A 19,021-nucleotide genomic window follows, 5' to 3' on the forward strand; every position below is an offset into this window, starting at 1 on the left:
AAAATGTTTTACTTTGTGGTTAAATATATATGAGTAAAATCTACCATTTTAACCATTTTTAAGTGTGCGGTTCAATGGCATCAAGTACATTCACATTGTGCAGCCATCCCACCATCCATCTCCACAACTATTTTCCTCTTCCCAAACTGAAACTCTGTACCCATTAACAATAACTCCCCATTCCCCCCTCTCCCCAGCCCGTGGCAACCACCATTCTACTTTCTGTCACATGAACTGACTACTGTAGGTACCTCGAATGATTGGAATCATACAGAATTTGGCCCTTGTGATTATTCAATAATGCATAATGTTCACCCATGATGTAGCAGGTGTCAGAATTTCCTTTTTTAGGCTGAATGCGCCTACACTTTTTAAAGGGAGACATGATATTAAAAATCATTTTCTAAAAAAATTGCATATCCACATCATTTTTTTAAAACTGCCACAGCACGGCCGGGCACGGTGGCTCACACCTGTAATCCCAGCACTTTGGGAGGCCGAGGCAGGCAGATCACGAGGTCAGGAGTTTGAGACCAGCCTAGCCAACATGGCGAAACCCCGTCTCTACTAAAAATACAAAAAAAAAAAAAAATCAGCTGGGCTTGGTGGCGGGCTCCTGTAATCCCAGCTACTTGGGAGGCTGAGGCAGGACAATCGCTTGAACCCAGGAAGGTGGAGGTTGCAGTGAGCCGAGATCGCGCCACTTGCACTCCAGCCTGTGTGACAAGAGCAAGACTCCATCTCAAAAAAACAAAACAAAACAAAAAAACTGCCACAGCATTGAATAGGCTTTTTAGCATTCATTAGGTTGCAAAAGGAGGCTGGAGCTGGGCTTCAAGGTAGCATTGTTCAAAGTCCTCTTACTTTCTAGGGTGGGATTTTTGTTGTTGTTGTTGTTGTTGTGTTTCCTTTTGTTTTGTTTTTTGAGAGGGAGTCTCACTCTTGTCGTCCAGGCTGGAGTGCAGTGGTGCGATCTCGGCTCACTGCAACCTCCTCCTCCCGGGTTCAAGCTTCTCCTGCCTCAGCCCCCTGAGTAGCTGGGATTACAAGCGCCCGCCACCACACTCGGCTAATTTTTGTACTTTTAGTAAAGACAGGGTTTCGCCATGTTGGCCAGGATGGTCTCGAACTCCTGACCTCAGGTGATCCGCCCACCTTGGCCTTCCAAAGTGCTGGGATTACAGGCGTGAGCCACCGCTCCCGGCCTGTTGTTTTTTAGAGAGGGCTCTCCCTGTGTCGCCCAGGCAAGAGTGCAGTGGCTATTCACAGGTGCAATCACGGCGCACGGCAGCCTGGAACTCCTGGCCTCAAGTGATCCTCCTGCGTCAGCCTCCAAAGTAGCTGAGACTACAGGTGTGTGCCACTGCACCCAGTTTAGGGTGAGTTATTCTTAATCTCACAGGCAAGAGACCAAATTTAGACACTTCCCTCAGTTAGTGGATGAAACTGAGCATTCAACTAAATCCTCTATCCCTTTGATCCCCGTTTCCCTCCCCTCTCCGAACCTTTACCCCCACAATGGTTTTCTGTTTGGAATACACGGTAACAAAACTAGGAGGAGGCATGCGTCTGTGCTTTCAAGTGGAATTTACCATTACAATAAAGTTATCACCATTGGAAGATATCAATTTGACATCCATGGCCTCGGGGCCTCCTCAGCCACCACAGGGTTTCTCCTCTCCATACACTGTTCTTATGAAATTCTGCTTTGCTTCCCCCAAAACTTCAGTAGTTTCTCATCAGCCCCGCAGTCACTGTAGCCAGGTCCCTGCCTAACATTTTATTTTATTTTGTTTTGTTTTATTTATTTATTTATTTATTTTTGAGACAGAGTCTAACTCTGTCGCCCAGGCTGGAGTGCAGTGGCGCGATCTTGGCTCACTGCAACCTCAGTCTGCTGGACTCAAGCAGTCCTCTCAAATGGAATTCTTTAGACAGGAATTCCTCTCCTGGACCCAAATTTTGAACACTTTTATTGTGTGTGTTGAACTGGGTTCTGGTCTTTAGAGAAAGAGAAACAGATTAATAACTTTCTTCCTCTCGGCTCTATCCTTAATCTCAAAAGTCTGTGACTTTTACTAAAATAACATTCTCCTCGCCATAATGGCGTCTTTTGACCTTATTCCCCCAAACCAAAATTTTCTCCCTCCCTCCCTTCCTTCTTTCTCTTTCTCTCTTTCTCTCTTTCCTTCTTTCGAGACAGAGTCCCACTCTGTCACTCAGACTGGAGTGCAGTGGTGCAATCTTGGTTCACTGCAACCTTCGCCTCCTGGGTTCAAGCAATTCTCCTGCCTCAGCCTCCTGAGTAGCTGCGACTACAGGTGCCCGCCACCACACCTGGCTAATTTTTGTATTTTTGGTAGAGATGGGGTTTCACGATATTGACCAGGCTAGTCTCGAACTGCTGACCTCAAGTGATCCTTCTGCCTCAGTCTCCCAAAGTGCTGGGAATACAGGCTTGGGCCATGGCGCTCGGCCACAAAATGTCCTTTTGCTGCAGGGCACCTGCTGTAATGGCAGCTGGGGAGGCTGCATGATCAGTCTCACCTTGGTTTTTAAATGATCAGCTGGCCCTGAAAATAGTTTCCAAAACTCATTGAGCTATGAAATTTCTGTTAAACACAGCAACCAGGCATCACCAAGATTTATCAATAACACAGTGGCCCATCTAGTAATGCCCAGAGCAGGAACCTAAGAAAATATCAGCATATACTTACAGCCAATACACAGATCTGTCTCCCATGGATATAACTCAGAAATTACAAAAGGGAAATAGTAGACACTATAGTTTTTAAGCCTTTTAATTTTTTTTTTTTTTTTTTTTTTTGAGATGGCATCTTGCTCTGCTGTTGCCCAGGCTGGAATGCAGTGGCTTGATCATAGCTCACTGCATCCTTGAACTCCTGGGCTCAAGGGATCCCTCCGACCTCAGCTTCCTGAGTAGCTGGGACTACAGGTGTGGGCCACTATGCCTGGCTAATTTATTTTTTATTTTTGTAGTGACAGGGTCTCATTTTGCTGCCCAGGCTGGTCTCGAACTCCTGGCTTCAAACAACCTTCCTGCCTTGGCCTCCCAAAGTACTGAGATTATAGGTGTGTGCTACCACACCCAGTTCCTTTTTAATTTTTAAAAGATTTTAGATTTTTTTTTTTGAGGCAATCCTTTCACATTTCTCACAACTCATCGTGAGTTGTTTTAATGTAAAGTTATTTTCCAGCAGATTGAAACAGTGAAGACCTCTGTATTCCAGGAGGGCAAGTGTTCTGCCTCTTCAAGATAGCTGAAGGAAAGGAAACTGTATAGCTCCCTGCAGTTTAAAAGTTAGTTGCGCACTGATTGCTTCATGAATAAAGCTGGAAGATCTAAGTTTGGGAGTGAAGGAAAGAGGATCTGCGGCCGGGCGCGGTGGCTCACGCCTGTAATCCCAGCACTTTGGGAGGCCGAGGCGGGCGGATCACAAGGTCAGAAGATCGAGACCACAGTGAAACCTCGTCTCTACTAAAAATACAAAAAAAAAAAAAAAAAAAAAAAAATTAGCCGGGCGCGGTGGTGGGCGCCTGTAGTCCCAGCTACTCGAGAGGCTGAGGCAGGAGAACGGCGTGAATACGGGAGACGGAGCTTGCAGTGAGCCGAGATCGCGCCACTGCACTGCAGCCTGGGCGACAGAGCGAGACTCCGTCTCAAAAAAAAAAAAAAAAAAGAAGATCTGAAAGAGAAAAATTGGAGAATACAGTCCCAGAGATTCATATTTCTAGACTCAGATCTCATGGACATTTTTGCCTGATGTGAAAAAACATTGTCCTGGCCAGGTGCAGTGGCTCACGCCTGTAATCCCAGCACTTTGGGAAGCTGAGGCGGGCAGATCACCTGAGATCGGGAGTTGGAGACCAGCCTGACCAACACGGAGAAATCCCATCACTACCAAAAATACAAAATTAGCCAGGCATGGTGGCGCATGCTTGTAATCCCAGCTACTCAGGAGGCTGAGGCAGGAGAACTGCTTGAACCCAGGAGGCAGAGGTTGTGGTGAGCCAAGATCACACCACTGCACTCCAGCCTGGGCAACAAGAGCAAAACTCCATCTCAAAAAAAAATACACTGTCCTGCCCAACCACACTCGCTGGTTTACTGCTCCCAAACCTTGAATAAAATTCTACAAGAAGATGGTGTATTGATGATCCATTCTATGCCTATCATTCTGCATCTGACTTCAAGTCTGTTTTATGACAGTTTCCATGTCTCCTTTAAAGAGCCCTTTGCTTTTGCAGGAAAATGAAAGATATTACCAGTCTTACAAAAGCATGTGGCTTCATATATTTTGAGTGCTATGAAATATTAATTTTTCTAAAACTGACATTATTTAGCAATTGGAAATGTGTTAGCTCTAACTTTCTTTTATGGGTACTTTTCTGTGGTTATAATATACAAAATTAAATTTACCACTTTGATCATTTTTAGGTGTATAGCTGTGCGGCATTAAGTACATTTTAGGGGCATTTTAAAATCTCTTCCTACTCTCAGTGCAGAGGTTCCTTCCTGCTTTCTCTATAAGTCATATCCAGCAGATAGTATTTAGGAACCCTTCATTTCTCAACTTTGTTTTGACAAAATTAGGAGTAATTCTATTACCTCTTTTTAAAAATCGGGATTCTAGGCCGGGAACAGTGGTGCACGCCTGTAATCCCAGCAATTTGGGAGGCCAAGGCAGTCAGATCCCTTGAGGCCAGGAATTCCAGATCAGCTTGGGCAACATGGTGAAACTCCACCTTTATTTTTTCAAAAAAGCGATTCTAAAGTGGAGTGGATGAAGGACTATGTCTTTCTTACTGGTTTATTGCTCGTCTGTGACTTTTTATTCACTAAAGATCCCTCTTAGGTAGATCTTAAACTTTCTCTCGCTCAGACTAAGTGATTTCAGTTTCATTATCTATTAATAGATACCTTTGCCCACACTTTAGTCGTGGAGTTCTCACAGTGGTTCTTCTCTGATACCTTGCCCAAGGTTATTTATATCCTGTTAATTTAAAAGTCTAGTAGTAGTGTCTGTAAACGCCGCTTAAAATAAAACTCACCAAGGGTTTGCCAGAATAGGTTTCTGGAGAAGAATCGCTGGTGTGAGCAGGAGCTCTGTCCCAGTGGGGCTGCTGAGTGTCACCCACTCCCCCACTGCGATTTTCTCACTGTCAGTCCCACCGCTTCCTGCCACTTGGTCTGGCTGGTCTTTTTTTTTTTTTTTTTTTTTGAGACAGGGTCTTGCTCTGCCACCCAGTGCCCAGGCTGCAGTACAGTGGCATGATCTCGGCTCACTACCTGGCTCAAGAAATCCTCCCACCTCAACCTCCTGAGCAGTTAAGACTACAGGCACATGCCACCATGCCTGGCTAATTTTTTTTTTTTTTTTTTTTTTTTTGTAGAGATGAGGTCTCACTATATTGCCCAGGCTAATCTAGAACTCTTGGGCTCAAGAAATCCTCCCGCCTCGGCCTCCCAAAGTGCTGGGATTCCAGGCATTAGCCACCGTGCCCAGGCTGGTCTCACCTTAAAAGCAACCGCCCAGATGAAGAAAAGCATTGCTTTCTTCAGTTCCTTATAGTTGAAACAGTATGACAGTAGGATAAACAATGGAGATGTTAAACTACGTTTTCCAGAGCAGACCTGATTTCAAATACCCTGAGCCATTGTCATACCTCATGTCAGGCAGTTGATTTGCTTATTCAGAAAACGTCCAAACTATCAATGGAGACTAAATGGAGGAGAAGTTACCCAAGCACCCCAAGAATAAGATGCGCCTCGAGACCATCTTAGTGCTCACTCGTGCCCCTCCCAACACGGTTCCTTTAACGTTGGTCCTTGATGAATATTTGTTGACTGAATAAATGAGTGGGGGATGGCCAGGTGCGGTGGCTCACGCCTGTAATTCCAGCACTTTGGGAGGCCGAGGCGGGTGGATCACCTGAGGTCAGAAGTTCAAGACCAGCCTGGCCAACATGATGAAACCCCATCTCTACTAAAAATACAAAAAATTAACTGGGTGCGGTGGTGGGCTCCTGTAGTCCCAGCTACTCAGGAGGCTGAGGCAGGAGAATCGCTTGAACCCAGGAGGTGGAGGTTGCAGTGAGCTGAGATCGTGCCACTGCACTCCAGTTTGGGCAACAAAAGTGAAACTCCATCTCAAAAAAAAAAAAGAGTGGGGGATGGACAGGTTTTAGAGACATAACAGCCCCTGGTAAGCAGAGTGACCCAAAAGGGGAAGCAGGGGCAAGTTCGGCAAGTTAGAGTGAGAGTAATTTTTGACCTAACGCAGGTGGGGAAGAAAATGAAAACCTGAATAGGTTTGAATTTGATCATATCGTGCTGGCTGTGACAACCCTAAATGATTTACAAATGGCTCATTAAAAAAAAAAAAAAAAAAAAAAAGTGTATCATCCGAATCCTCAACAAGAAAAAAAAGGAGCAAGAAAAAAGAATTCTCTTTTGTCCCTCCTACCCACATCTTTGCATGCCTGTCACCCCTCATGGATGCCATCCTCACTGTTCAGCGTCCTGTCCCCCTGATGCCCCATGGCTCTCACTTTACACTGATACAGCCAAACGTATCAGGAAGAACCAAATGTCTTCCTCCAAACTACACTTTGTCCTAAAACTATTCCTTTTAAAAACACACTTCAAATAAAGTTTTCAGTTCCTCAGAGTTGGGAAACTGTTCGATTGCCTTGTTATATGCATACTTAAGCCATACTCATCAGGTACTTAGTGATCAATACGTGTCTCCAATTACTTGATTAAAATACTGTAAGTCTGAATGACTGATAGGCTTCATTCTCCCAGGGAACATCTATGTTTTCTAAATTTCATTAGCCTAAATGAATCTAATTGATAAAATATATTAGGACCCTTCTGTGACAATTGTGGGCAATGTTCTCTGTCTACTGTCAGGCTGGAAATAGAGCTGTCAGTGACTTGGTATCCCAGTTTTATCCTGTTATAGTCTGTGGGAAGCCATTGTACATCAGTAGGGGAAAAGGCATAATACAAACATTTTAGAAAGTTTACTAGAGCAGGCCGGGTGCGGTGGCTCACTCCCATAATCCCAGCACTTTGGGAGGCCAAAGTGGGTGAATCACCTGAGGTCAGGAGTTCGAGACCAGCCTGGCCAACATGGTGAAACCCTGTCTCTACTAAAAATACAAAAAAAAGAAAAAATTAGCCTGGTGTGGTGGCACGCGCCTGTTAATTCCAGCTACTTGGCTCAGGAGGCTGAGGCAGGAGAATTGCTTGAACCTGGGAGGTGGAGGTTGCAATGAGCCGAGATTGTGCCACTGCACTCCAGAGTGGGAGACAGTGCAAGACTCTGTCTCAAAAAAAAAAAAAAAAAAAAAGAAAGAAAGAAAAAACAAAGTTTACTAGAGCAGTAAAGTTTAGTCTAGAGTTCCAGGAGGACTCTACCAGGTGATTTCTACTGCTGCTGGTCCTGGTGCTCATTGCCATTTAGGCTGAGTCCAGTGGAGGAAAGTAGGTAGATTCTGAGCTTAGTGATCCTGAGGAGTGCTACCTGGTTCTGAAACATGCACCAAACACTTAGGATGTACTAGGGGTTGGGGATACAAAGTAAGTGAGATAGAAAAAGGGTGATCAAGTCTACCTGAGGGGAGCACAGAAGAGAGGGTGACCAACTCTGCCTGAGGGAATAGAGGCGACAAGTAACCAAGTCTACTTTGAGAAAATGTAGACAAGAAGGTCATCCACTCCACTTGAGAAAGCTGCAGAAGGCTTCACCAAATAGAAAGGACTGAGCCTCACAGCACTTGCCATCTTGTTCTCATGTAGTTATAAAATCTTTTTGCCGGGCGCAGTGGCTCACGCCTGTAATCCCAACACTTTGGGAGGCCAAGGTGGGTGGGTCACCTGAGGTCAGGAGTTCAAGACCAGCCTGGCCATACAAAAATTAGCTGGGTGTGGTAGTACATGCCTGTAATCCCAGCTACTAGAGAGGCTGAGGCAGGAGTATTGCTTGAACCCAGGGGGCGGATGTTGCAGTGAGCTGAGATCACGCCACTGCCGTCCAGCCTGGGTGACAGAATGAGACTCTGTCTCAAAAAAAAAATAAATAAAATAAAATAAAATCTTTTTATAAATCTGGCTTTACTACTCTGCTGCTCCTTGAGGGCAGAGATTGCTTGTTCCAAGGTTTAGGGTAGATTAATGTACTACTTGGTATAGCATAATCATTGCTATAATTACTATTTTTAAATTTATTATTTACGTATTTATTTTTAGAGACATGGTTTCCCTATGTTGCCCAGGCTGGCCTTGAACTCTTGGGGGCTCAAGTGATCCTCCCACCTTAGCCTTCCAAGTATCTGGGACTATAGGAGTGAGCCACTGTGCCCAGCTGTAATTATTTTTGAAAGAGTTGACATCTTTTGTCTTGAAAGATGAGTAGAAATGCATAGGAAAGAAAGGATAAGGTAGCACATGTGGAGAGAGAACACCATAGCAAAATCACGGAGTTGGGAAATCCAGTGTGGTTGTTAGGAACACAATTAATTCATTTCTGGGGTTTGGAGTGACTGGGGGATAGGGATTGGAATAGAGGAATGCTAGAAGTGTGGCCAAGGATCAGTGTGAAGGGCCTTATAGGCTCTGCTAAGAATTTGGACTTCATTCTGCAACAGGAACCCATTCACAGTTTTAAAGCAGAGAATTAATTAGGTCAAATCTGTTTTAGAGGGATTACTGGCAGCAACATTGAGAGAGATAGGAGTGAAGGGAGGTTAGAGGCAACAGTCGGCAGTCCTTTTGTGAGTGGGGAGTGGAGGGACAGACATTTGAGAGAAAATTCAGAGTAGCACTCTTAGGATTAAGAGAATAGAAGGAGTTGAAGATTACATCAAGTTTTTAGTTTGAATTTGAACATTTGAGCATATAAGAAGAGAAGCAAGAAGGGGGAAGGAAGGAGAGATGATTAATTCAATTTTGAATACTTTGAGTTTGAGGAGCCTGCACATTCCAGGGAGAGCCATTGTATATGCAGCTGGTAGCCTGGAGGACAGGTTGGGGCCAGAGATACAGTTTGGGCTGCCGTAGTTGGAACCATTTGATTGGGTGAGGAACCCAGAGAGATCACATGGAGAGAGAAGAGAAACAGTCAAGCCCAGGGGAAACTGAGATTCCCTCCGTTCTTTTTGAAAGTTCAATGTCTTTCTCCCTTTTATAGAAATTATCTAAAAACCAACAACAGATCACAGTAAGTAGAAATGCCAATTTTTACCCCCAGAAATTCTTTAACTTCTGGCACTCTAAGAGGTGAGCTGGCACTTTCAGATTCAGGAGTGCTTGTCTGGGAGTTGACAGCTGTGTAACTTTAGGTAATGCAAGGCCTTTGGTGGAGTCAGCTCATTCAGGAGTCTACCAACAGCTCTTGAAATGTCTGCACATGAATCCCCAGGTGCAGGAGCCAGCCCAGCGCAGAGGGAGAAGCTTGAGTCAGAGCATCAACACAATGGAACTTTCAACATCCCTGTTCTTTTTTTCTTTTCCGTTGAAGTGGAGTTTTGCTCTGTTGCCCAGGCTGGAGTGCAGTGGCACGATCTCCGCTCACCACAACCTCCACTTCCCGGGTTCAAGTGATTCTCCTGCCTCAGCCTCCTGAGTAGCTGGGACTGCAGGCGCCTGCCACCATGCCCAGCTAATTTTTGTATTTTTAGTAGAGACGGGATTTCACTATGTTCAAGGCCAGGCTGGTCTTGAACTCCTGACCACGTGATCTGCCTGCCTCAGCCTCCCAAAGTGCTGGGATTACAGACGTGAGCCACCTTGCCCAGCCTCAACATCCCTTTTCTTATTCGCTATCTTGAAATATCTGAAGACTTTGTGATGGCAAGTGGTTCAAGCATTTTCTGGTGGTGACCACTGCGGGGAACCACAGGCCAGGTGAATGAGAGAGGCCTCTCTATCCATTCCTCTCTCATCTCATCTTCTGTACTCTCGGCCTCATCCTGCACTAGTCACACTGGCCTCATACAAGTCACTCTCCTGCCACAAAAGCCTCGGCTGTGCTCCACCTGGAGTGCTCTTCCTAGATAGCTGCAAGGTTAACTCCTGCCCAAATGTCATCTTTTTAATGAGGCCTACCTTGGCCTCTTTAGTTTAAATTGCATCTGTCCAGGCCAGGTGTGTTGGCTCATGCCTATAATCCCAGCACTTTGGGAGGCTGAAGTGGGCGTATCACCTGAGGTCAGGGGTTCGAGACCAGCCTGGCCAACATGGTGAAACCCCATCTCTACTAAAAATACAAAAATTAGCTGGGCATAGTGGCACATGCCTGTAGTCCCAGCTACTCAGGAGGCTGAGGCAGGAGAATCACTTGAACCCAGTAGGTGGAGGTTGCAGTGAGCCAAGATCACACCACTGCACCCCAGTCGGGCAACAGAGTGTGACTCCGGCTCAAAAATAAATAAATAAATAAATTGTATCTGTCCTTGTCTGCAACTTACACCACCACCAAGTAACCTCCTCCTTGAAGTTATGTGGGAGAAATTTCTCCAGCTCTTCTAAAAGGGGTTGTGAAAATACTCTCATCTCACAACCAGCTAGAGCAGACCTCTTTTCTTCCAGAGAGTTCCAACGTTCTGGCTTGGGACTCATGTCCATGAGTCCAATTTTTTTTTTTAATTATACTTTGAGTTCTAGGGTACATGTGCACAACGTGCAGGTTTGTTACATATGTATACATGTGCCATGTTGGTGTGCTGCACCCATTAACTCGTCATTTACATTAGGTATATCTCCTAATGCTTGTCCAATTGGTTTTTACAGTCAAATGCTGACCGTAATATCTGTTTACTAAAATAAATAGAAAAAACATGAGAGAACATTTCTCAAAAGGCCCTTTTAACATATAGACTTACTTCTTGATATTTAAGAAGAATCCACTTTTTTGCTATACAATTACACAGTTTAAACCTAGTGTTACAGCCATTGTTCATAATTTGACTTTTCAGTAAATGAAAACACCTATTATACCTAAAAAGACTTGAATTGGGCCAGGAGCGGTGGCTCATCCCTGTAATCTCAGCACTTTGGGAGGCTGAGGTGGGTGGATACCTGAGATCAGGAGTTCAAGACCAGCTGGGCCAACATGGCGAAACCCCCTCTCTACTAAAAATACAAAAATTAGCCGGACGTCGTGGCAGACGCCTGTAATCCCAGCTACTCGGGAGGCTGAGGCAGGAGAATTGCTTGAACCTGGGAGGCGGAGGTTGCAGTGGGCTGAGATCGCACCATTGCACTCTAGCCTGGGAGACAAGAGCGAAACTCTGTCTCAAAAAAAAAAAAAAAGACTTGAATTGTTCCTTCCTATAAAACCTTATGTATTACCACTCCTAAACAGATATAATTATACCTTTAAAAAATTATAGACTAGGCCGGGTGCAGTGGCTCACACATGTAATCCCAGGACTTTGGGAGGCCGAGGTCGGCAGATCATGAGGTCAGGAGTTCGAGACCAGCCTGACCAGCACAGTGAAACCCCCTCTCTACTAAAAATACAAAAATTAGCTGGGCATGGTGGCTTGTGCCTGTAATCCCAGCTACTAGGGAGGCTGAGGCAGGAGAATTGCTTGAACCCGGGAGGCAGAGATTGCAGTGAGCCGAGATTGCGCCACTGCACTCTAGCCTAGGCGACAGAGCGAGACTTCATCTCAAAAAAAAAAAAAAATTATAGAATAAGGTTAGAGTTCGTTTATTTTGATAATATATACTTCTTCTTCAAATATTATTATTTTCATTCTCTAAAGGTTTTATCAAGATCAAAGAGATCAACCTAGAAATAGACATTAAAATGTTTCAATGTCTCCATTTTTTCTATCAAAGAACTAAAGACCTGGAGAGCGTCAGTGGCCTGCCTGAAGTCACTCAACTGGTTGACCATAAGCTAATCCTGGGAGCCAGGCCATGTGAAGGCTACTAGAATCATATCTCTGTTATCCCAGACCACCTTCAAAATAGTTTGGGCGTAGTTGTTCTGTTAGCCAGATTGTATTTATTTATTAGCTAACACTAGCTAATAAATTTGGGGAAAATCAGACCAAGCCACTATTACAGCATAACACTAGCACTCTTACATATGTAATGAGATTTAATTTGAAAATATGCAGAACCCTCTTCTATAAATTTTGAGTGCATGCTCTGGCAGTTTACCCTCTGGCTTTAGCCAATTTATCATAAAGTATTAATTACCTCCGTGTTTCTGTGTGTGCGTATGTAGCTATTTCTTAGGATTAATGAGGAAGAGTTGGATCAAAAGGAATGGGCTTTGTATTCTCAAAAATGGCTGAGTGGAGTTTAAGGGTTCTCACTACAAAAAACAAGTATATGTGGTGACATCTGTGTTAATTCCCTTCATTTAGCCATTCCACAATGTATACATATTTCAAAACCTGTTGTACATGATAAATATATACAATTTTATGTCCATTTAAAATGATTAATTAGTGTTTTTAAAGGAATGAGCTAAATGTTCACCACATAAAGAAACATTAGAGACCTTGTGGAGTGAAATTATTGGAATGAAATAGTATCACCATGGGCACCAAATTGAGGCTCCTCAGACACTGTGGGACCAGGGACCTCTGAGAAGATTCCATCAACCTCCTGCTTCTCCTTAACATATTCTCGATGGCAGGTTGCTAGTGACATTTGGTCCCTCTCCTCCCCCTTTCCACTTCCAGTTCTCAAGTCACAAACATGAAGACAAGTTTTAGCCATGTTACTCTGTTAATCTACACACTTACTTCAAGGAAAGAATAAATTGATAGGCCAGGCACGGTGGCTCATGCCTCTAATCCCAACACTTTGGGAGGCCAAGGCAGGAGGACTCCTTCAGGCCTAGAGTTCAAGACCAGCCTGGGCAACATAGTGAGACCTCGTCCCTACTGAAAAAAAAAAAAAAATTAGCTGGGTGTGGTGGCACACACTTGTAGTTCCAGCTACTTGAGAGGCTGAGACTGGAGGATCATTTGAGGTCAGAAATTTGAAGCTGCAGTGAGCCATGATTGTGCTGCTCGCTGCACTCCAGCCTGGGCAAAAAAACAAGACCCTGTGTCTTAAAAAAAGGAAAAAAATAAATAAATTGATAGTAAACTCCAGTCTCCAATATGGAATGGCACAGAGCTGAAAATATATTATTCCTTATCTGTCTTCTGTGCTAGGAGTTCATTTGTTAGAGTAATTGCAGAGATTTTGCAACTGTTTATACAGCATTTGAAATCCTAGACTTTTACTCCCATGAGACTACCATAGTCAGACTGTTTACGTCTCTTAGCAGTAGAACGAGAGTCACTTTATTATCTTAAATGTGAGCTCCCCTCATCTTGCCCTATTTCCTGATCACCAAGCTTCACCAAGAGATTGGAAGAGACATTAACAATTGAGGAGACTGGGGAATTTTAGGTAGCCCATTGTCACTAAGGTATAGCTATTTTCCAGAAAAAAAAAATTCTAAAGAAGCAAAATATCTTTAACAAACTTATTCATGCTTACACCAAATTAAAGGGGGGACCATGGCAAATTCTATTCTACAGTTCGTTGTCCCAGAGCCTTGACAATTTGGAATGCAGGCTGTGCCCGGATGGCAGGAATTTGGAATCAGTTTACAATGTGTGATATGATAACACATGTTCTGGATCAGCGGCAGGGGAATGTTTGGAGCCGTAATTCTGTCCGTCTCCCCATTAGCAGGAAGCCATGCTAAACTCACAGCTGGAGAAGTGCCTAAAAAGAACTAGGTTCTTTGTGTGTGTGAGAGAGTGTATTTATAAAGACAACACAAAACCCAGCCCCAGGGATAAATGCTAAATTAAGGTCATCAAAAATGAAACAGTACATTCATCACATGGATAAATTGGTATCTCGTTGAGATCACTACTTTTCTCAGCTAGAAGCGTGGCTCTATACCCTCATACATCTGGGCTTCATGTTACAGGGGATGTTTAACAACATTAGAGAAAGAAAACCCTAGACCCATTGGCAAGCAGAAAGTCAAATGGAAAATGTTCACTTTAATAAGGCACAAAGGGATGTATACAAGATTCAAACAACATGAGTTGAAACCTGATATCCCTGAGGCTTGAGGTAAAAACGGACTCTTGGCTCTGGTGAGCCAAACATTAAGGAAACATGTAAGCACGTGTAAGTGCAAGCATGAAGCTAGCATAATTCAGCAGGCTTTGTGAAGCCAAACGCTGAGCTTAGGCAAGAAAGACTGAACGTTGTCCTTTGAAAAGATGTAAGTTATTGGCACATTGAGGTTAGCAGAAAGAATGATTTATATAATGTAGTCTTGCTTTCATGTCTCTCTCTCTCTCTATCTCTCTCTTTTTTTTTTTTTTTCCTTTTTGAGACAGGGTCTTGCTCTGTAGCCCAGGCTGAAGTGCAGTGGTGCAATCACAGCTCACTACAGCCTCAACTTCCTAGGCTCAAGTGATCTTCCTGTCCCAGCCTTCCAAGTACCTGGGACCACAGGTGCACGGACACAATGCTCGACTAATATTTTTATTTATTGTAGAGACAGGGTCTCACTACATTGCTTAGGCTGGTCTCGAACTCATGGGCTCAAGCGAAAGTGCTGAAACCGTAGGTGTGAGCCACTGCACCTGTCTTCTCTCTCTCTCTTTTTTTTTTTGAGACAGAGTCTCGCTGTGGAGTGCAGTGGCGCAAATTCTGCTGACTACAACCTCCGCCTCCCAGTTCAAGCAATTCTCCTGTCTCAGCCTCCTGAGTAGCTGGGACTACAGGCGTGCACCACCATGCCCAGCTAATTTTTTGTATTTTTAGCAGAGTTGGAATTTCACCATGTTGTCTAGGCTGGTCTTGAACTCCTGGCCTCAAGTGATCCACCTGCCTCAGCCTCCCACTGGCTTCTCTTTTCTTAAAGTCTATAGTGTTCTGTACTTTTCTAATGGTTTCCTACTTCAACTGTACTTACATAGACACAGCACTTCTCTCATGATTATCCTGAATGAATGAATTAGTGATTATGTTATTTAAAATATTCAAACTATGAAAGTACTGAGGCAGTCATGGTTGATTTGGTGTTTTTATACTATTTCACTAATTTGCAACATCATCAATTTAATTATGGCTGGCTTAAAGTCACCAAAAATCTACTAAAAAGTCAATCTGGTTTAATAATCAAGATAATATCATAGCTTCAGATAGGAAGATGATCATGATTTTACCATCATGATCCCATCTAATTGTTCAAATAGATACCATCTAATTGTTCAAAATTAGAACCATAAGACTTTGTAAGGCCGGGTGTGGTGGCTCACGCCTGTAATCCCAGCACTTTGGGAGGCTGAGGTGGCGGATCACAAGGTCAGAAGATTGAGACCATCCTGGCTAATACAGTGAAACCCCGTCTCTATTAAAAATACAAAAAATTAGCTGGGTGTGGTGGCAGGTGCCTGTAGTCCCAGCTACTCGGGAGGCTGAGACAGGAAAATGGTGTGAACCTGGGAGGTGGAGCTTGCAGTGAGCCGAGATCGCGCCACTGCACTCCAGCCCGGGTGACAGTGCTAGACTCCATCTCAAAAAAAAAAAAAAAAGACTTTGTAAAACCATCAACTGATTTAGTGTATAGTTAAAGAACACTGTGGCTAACTCTGCAGTCTTTTTGTAGAGGGAAGCCCTAGTTTTCAGGGCAAGGATTTATAAAGCATTTTTCTGTTGGCAAAGTGCTTCTACACACATTTAATTGAATCCTCTCGACCTTGTACCTTTTTACTCTAATATACGATTTGGGCTTCTTCTTCAGAGGTGATCAGAAGTATTTGGTCTTAGTATTTGAGCAACATTTTTCCAGAGTTCTGTCTTCATTACATCAACTTCCTCTGACAGCTAGAAAGACTGTCTTAGCCATTTCCTCTTCAGAGCCCTGTTGCTTTCGAGCCAGTGACCTGTGTACCAGTTTCCTGCTCCACAGATGCCTTTAGTGAGAAGAGTCCAGTCGCTGACTCCATTCCCATTTGGGTCACAGCCCCAACCCATCACTTCTCTTTGATGACCCACTCTACAATCTTCCAGTTTGTATCCCATTAAACCACACACAAGTTTTCCCCACTTTCCATTGAAAATTAAAAATCTTTTGATAGAAAAATACATAAACTAACAAATTGCTTATGACCACAGCATCCGAAGGTTTTTGGTTCTCGGTTTGTGTTTAGGTGGACAATCGTCATTAGCGTTGATCCTAGCACTCACACACCTTGCAAGTGGAACTGTATCGATCTGCCTCCCCAACCCCACATCCTGCTCATGTGGGAAATGCTTTCCTCCACTCTTACTCAACTTTACAGCCTCCAAGTCCCTTCTACTCCAACCTCCTGTGTGTGTATAACATTCTTTTATGCTTTTTTCTCTTTACAATATTTTAAAAATCCTTTGTCATTGTCTTGAGTAGTTTCTTACTGAAGTTATTGTAGTATTCTTTGCCATTTCCATGTTACTGGATTTATTTTGGGTGTTTCCAGTTTGGAGTTATTACAGATAACCTTGCCATAAATATCTGGTAAAATATTTTTCATTTAAAATTATTTTCTCAAAATAAATTTCTAAGAATACCGTTGTGGCAAAGGGTATAGTCTTTTTTTTTTTTTTTTGAGATGGAGTCTCATTCTGCCACCCAGGTAGGAGTGCAGTGGCACAGTCTCGGCTCACTACAATCTCTGCCTCCCAGGTTCAAGCGATTCTCCTGCCTCATCCTCCTGAGTAGCTGGGGTTACAGTCGCCCACCGCCACACCTGGCTAATTTTCGTCTTTTTAGTAGAGACAGGGCTTTGCCATGTTTGCCAGGCTGGTCTTGAACTCCTGACCTCAAGTGATCCGCCCGCCTCGGCCTCCCAAAGTGCTTGGATTACAGACATGAGTCACCGCGCCCGGCTGGGTATAGTCATTTTTATGGCTGTTATTCTGTATTCGGGTTGCCTTCAAGAAAACATACTGCCAGCGTGGTGGCTCGGGCCTGTAATCCTAGTGCTTTGGAAGGCTGAGGCAGAAGGATCACTTGAGGCCAGAAGTTCAAGACCAGCCTGGGCAACATAATGAGACCCTGTCTCTATTAAAAAAAAAAGAAAAAGAAAAAGAAAAAAAAGCTGGGCATGCTGGCATGTGCCACCTGTGGTCAAAACAACAAAAAAGTACCAACTCATCACGTCCTTGGCACTAGAAGAGTGGGCTTCTTTGAGTTATTTCCAAAACTGGGTTTTATAACAAGTCACTTTTATTGTTGTTCTTTATTATTATAAAATGATACTACAGTTAACTTAATTTACATTTTGCAGTGAGGCTGATCTATCAGTATAAAATTTCAGCTCTGAACCAATCTTTAACATAAAGGGAAAATAATTTCAAAGGAGGGTGGGGTAGGTCATTCCTTCAAATGTATTGGGCAAACTCAGAACTGGCCTCCACCTTGCAGAGAGAAAACCCTGGATTGCTGTGCAGTAACGCGCTGCCACCCTCTAGTCTAGATACTTATTTCCTCACGCACAGATGATTGCCCAAGTCTCTTAACCAATTCACCAAACTTCCAGCTTCAGCTCTCCAAGTCATCTACCACACAATTTCCAGTTTGATGTGCTCACAGAGGACGTGCGGCCCTAGGGAGGGGACAAGGGCCGCAGGCAGCTCACACTGGAATCTAAGTCTCCAGATCCTCAGCCAGCGTCCTTTCTCCTACATCTTGCCCTTCTCACTACTTTCTGGGAGTTCCGACGTCTCAGCAGGGCTGCTGGGCGATGCCGTAGCCTTTCTCTGCAGCCCTCTGGCAGCAGCCGCCAGGGCCACTGCATGAGGTTCACACACCCGCTGATTGTGATTCTGCCCCTTGGCTCTGGCGGCCTGGAGTCCTCGCGCCTCTGAGAGCTGCATTCGCTCGTCTGGGCTGCGTCCTGCTGTTTCCGAGAAGCTACTGTTGGCAGTTGACTTGCTTTGGGTCGTGTTCTCCACGGCCCGGCCCGTTTGCCTCCTGCCTGGTTTCTCTTCCTGAGCTGACAGACCCTGCTCTCTGTGTGTCTGCCACGGCCAGCCAGGGTGTGAGGACTGTGATTCGCATGGAACCAATTTTCTTTGCTGGTGGAGGCCCCCTCTGATCATGTTCTGCAGCTTCTTTCCTGAGGGAAGGGTAGAGGGAGGTCTGCGCTCACACTGATGTGGAGTCAACTGTCAGGTTCTGTATGCTGTGAGGGGCCTCTTCAACCATCCAGCAGGCGTTCCTCTCAAACCACTTAGGGTGGACTTTTGTTCTCTTCTTCACACACACACACACACACACACACACACTGAATTTAGTCTGTCATTGGCTCAAGATGTCTTGGTTAGTAGCACACAAGCACACACTTTGGAGTCAGACTGCCAGGTTTGAATCCTGGCTCCACTGCTTAGATCTGTGACCTTGGGAAGTTACTTAACCTCTGCCTATGTAAATGTTTGCTCCTATTATTGATTAGTCCTTGAAGAGAAAGGGAGATTTTAGGAGGATAGACAAATCAGTCCTTACCTAAGGCACTCCTTTTTCAATTAGTGGTCTGTTTTATTTTGTAATTGGAGGAAAAATAAGGAAGCCCTATCTTGACTTGGGAGCCTGAAATTTCAACATGTGTCTAAATGGAAGAACTGAAATGGGGTCATTTTCACAATATGAGGGCATTAGTTTCATGTTGGCCTGGCATTAAAGTTGACTTGGTGGATGCATTTAGTGGGCCATCACCTGAGCTCTTCTGACAGGCCCATCCAAACTCATAGGGTTTGCTTTCTTCTGGTTCTCACTTTGTTTTTCTTTTCTTTTCTCCCTCCCTCCCTCCCTCCCTCCTTCCCTCCCTCCCTCCCTCCCTCCCTTCCTTCATTCCTTCCTTCCTTCGTTTCGCTCTTGTTGCCCAGGGTGGAGTGCAATGGCGTGATCTCAGCTCACTACAACCTCCACCTCCTGGGTTCAAGCGATTCTCCTGCCTCAGCTTTCCA

General features: G+C 44.3%; 1 annotated feature.

Moving 5' to 3' along the window:
• Nucleotides 15,890-16,039: an enhancer, noted in NCBI's record as "active region_22055". NCBI's record gives its function as "activates an Ori minimal core promoter by ATAC-STARR-seq in GM12878 lymphoblastoid cells {active_cell/tissue: GM12878}" and the evidence as "EXISTENCE:reporter gene assay evidence [ECO:0000049][PMID:35858748]".

This window comes from Homo sapiens, chromosome 4, assembly GCF_000001405.40.
Source record: "Homo sapiens chromosome 4, GRCh38.p14 Primary Assembly".
Lineage (NCBI taxonomy): Eukaryota > Metazoa > Chordata > Mammalia > Primates > Hominidae > Homo > Homo sapiens.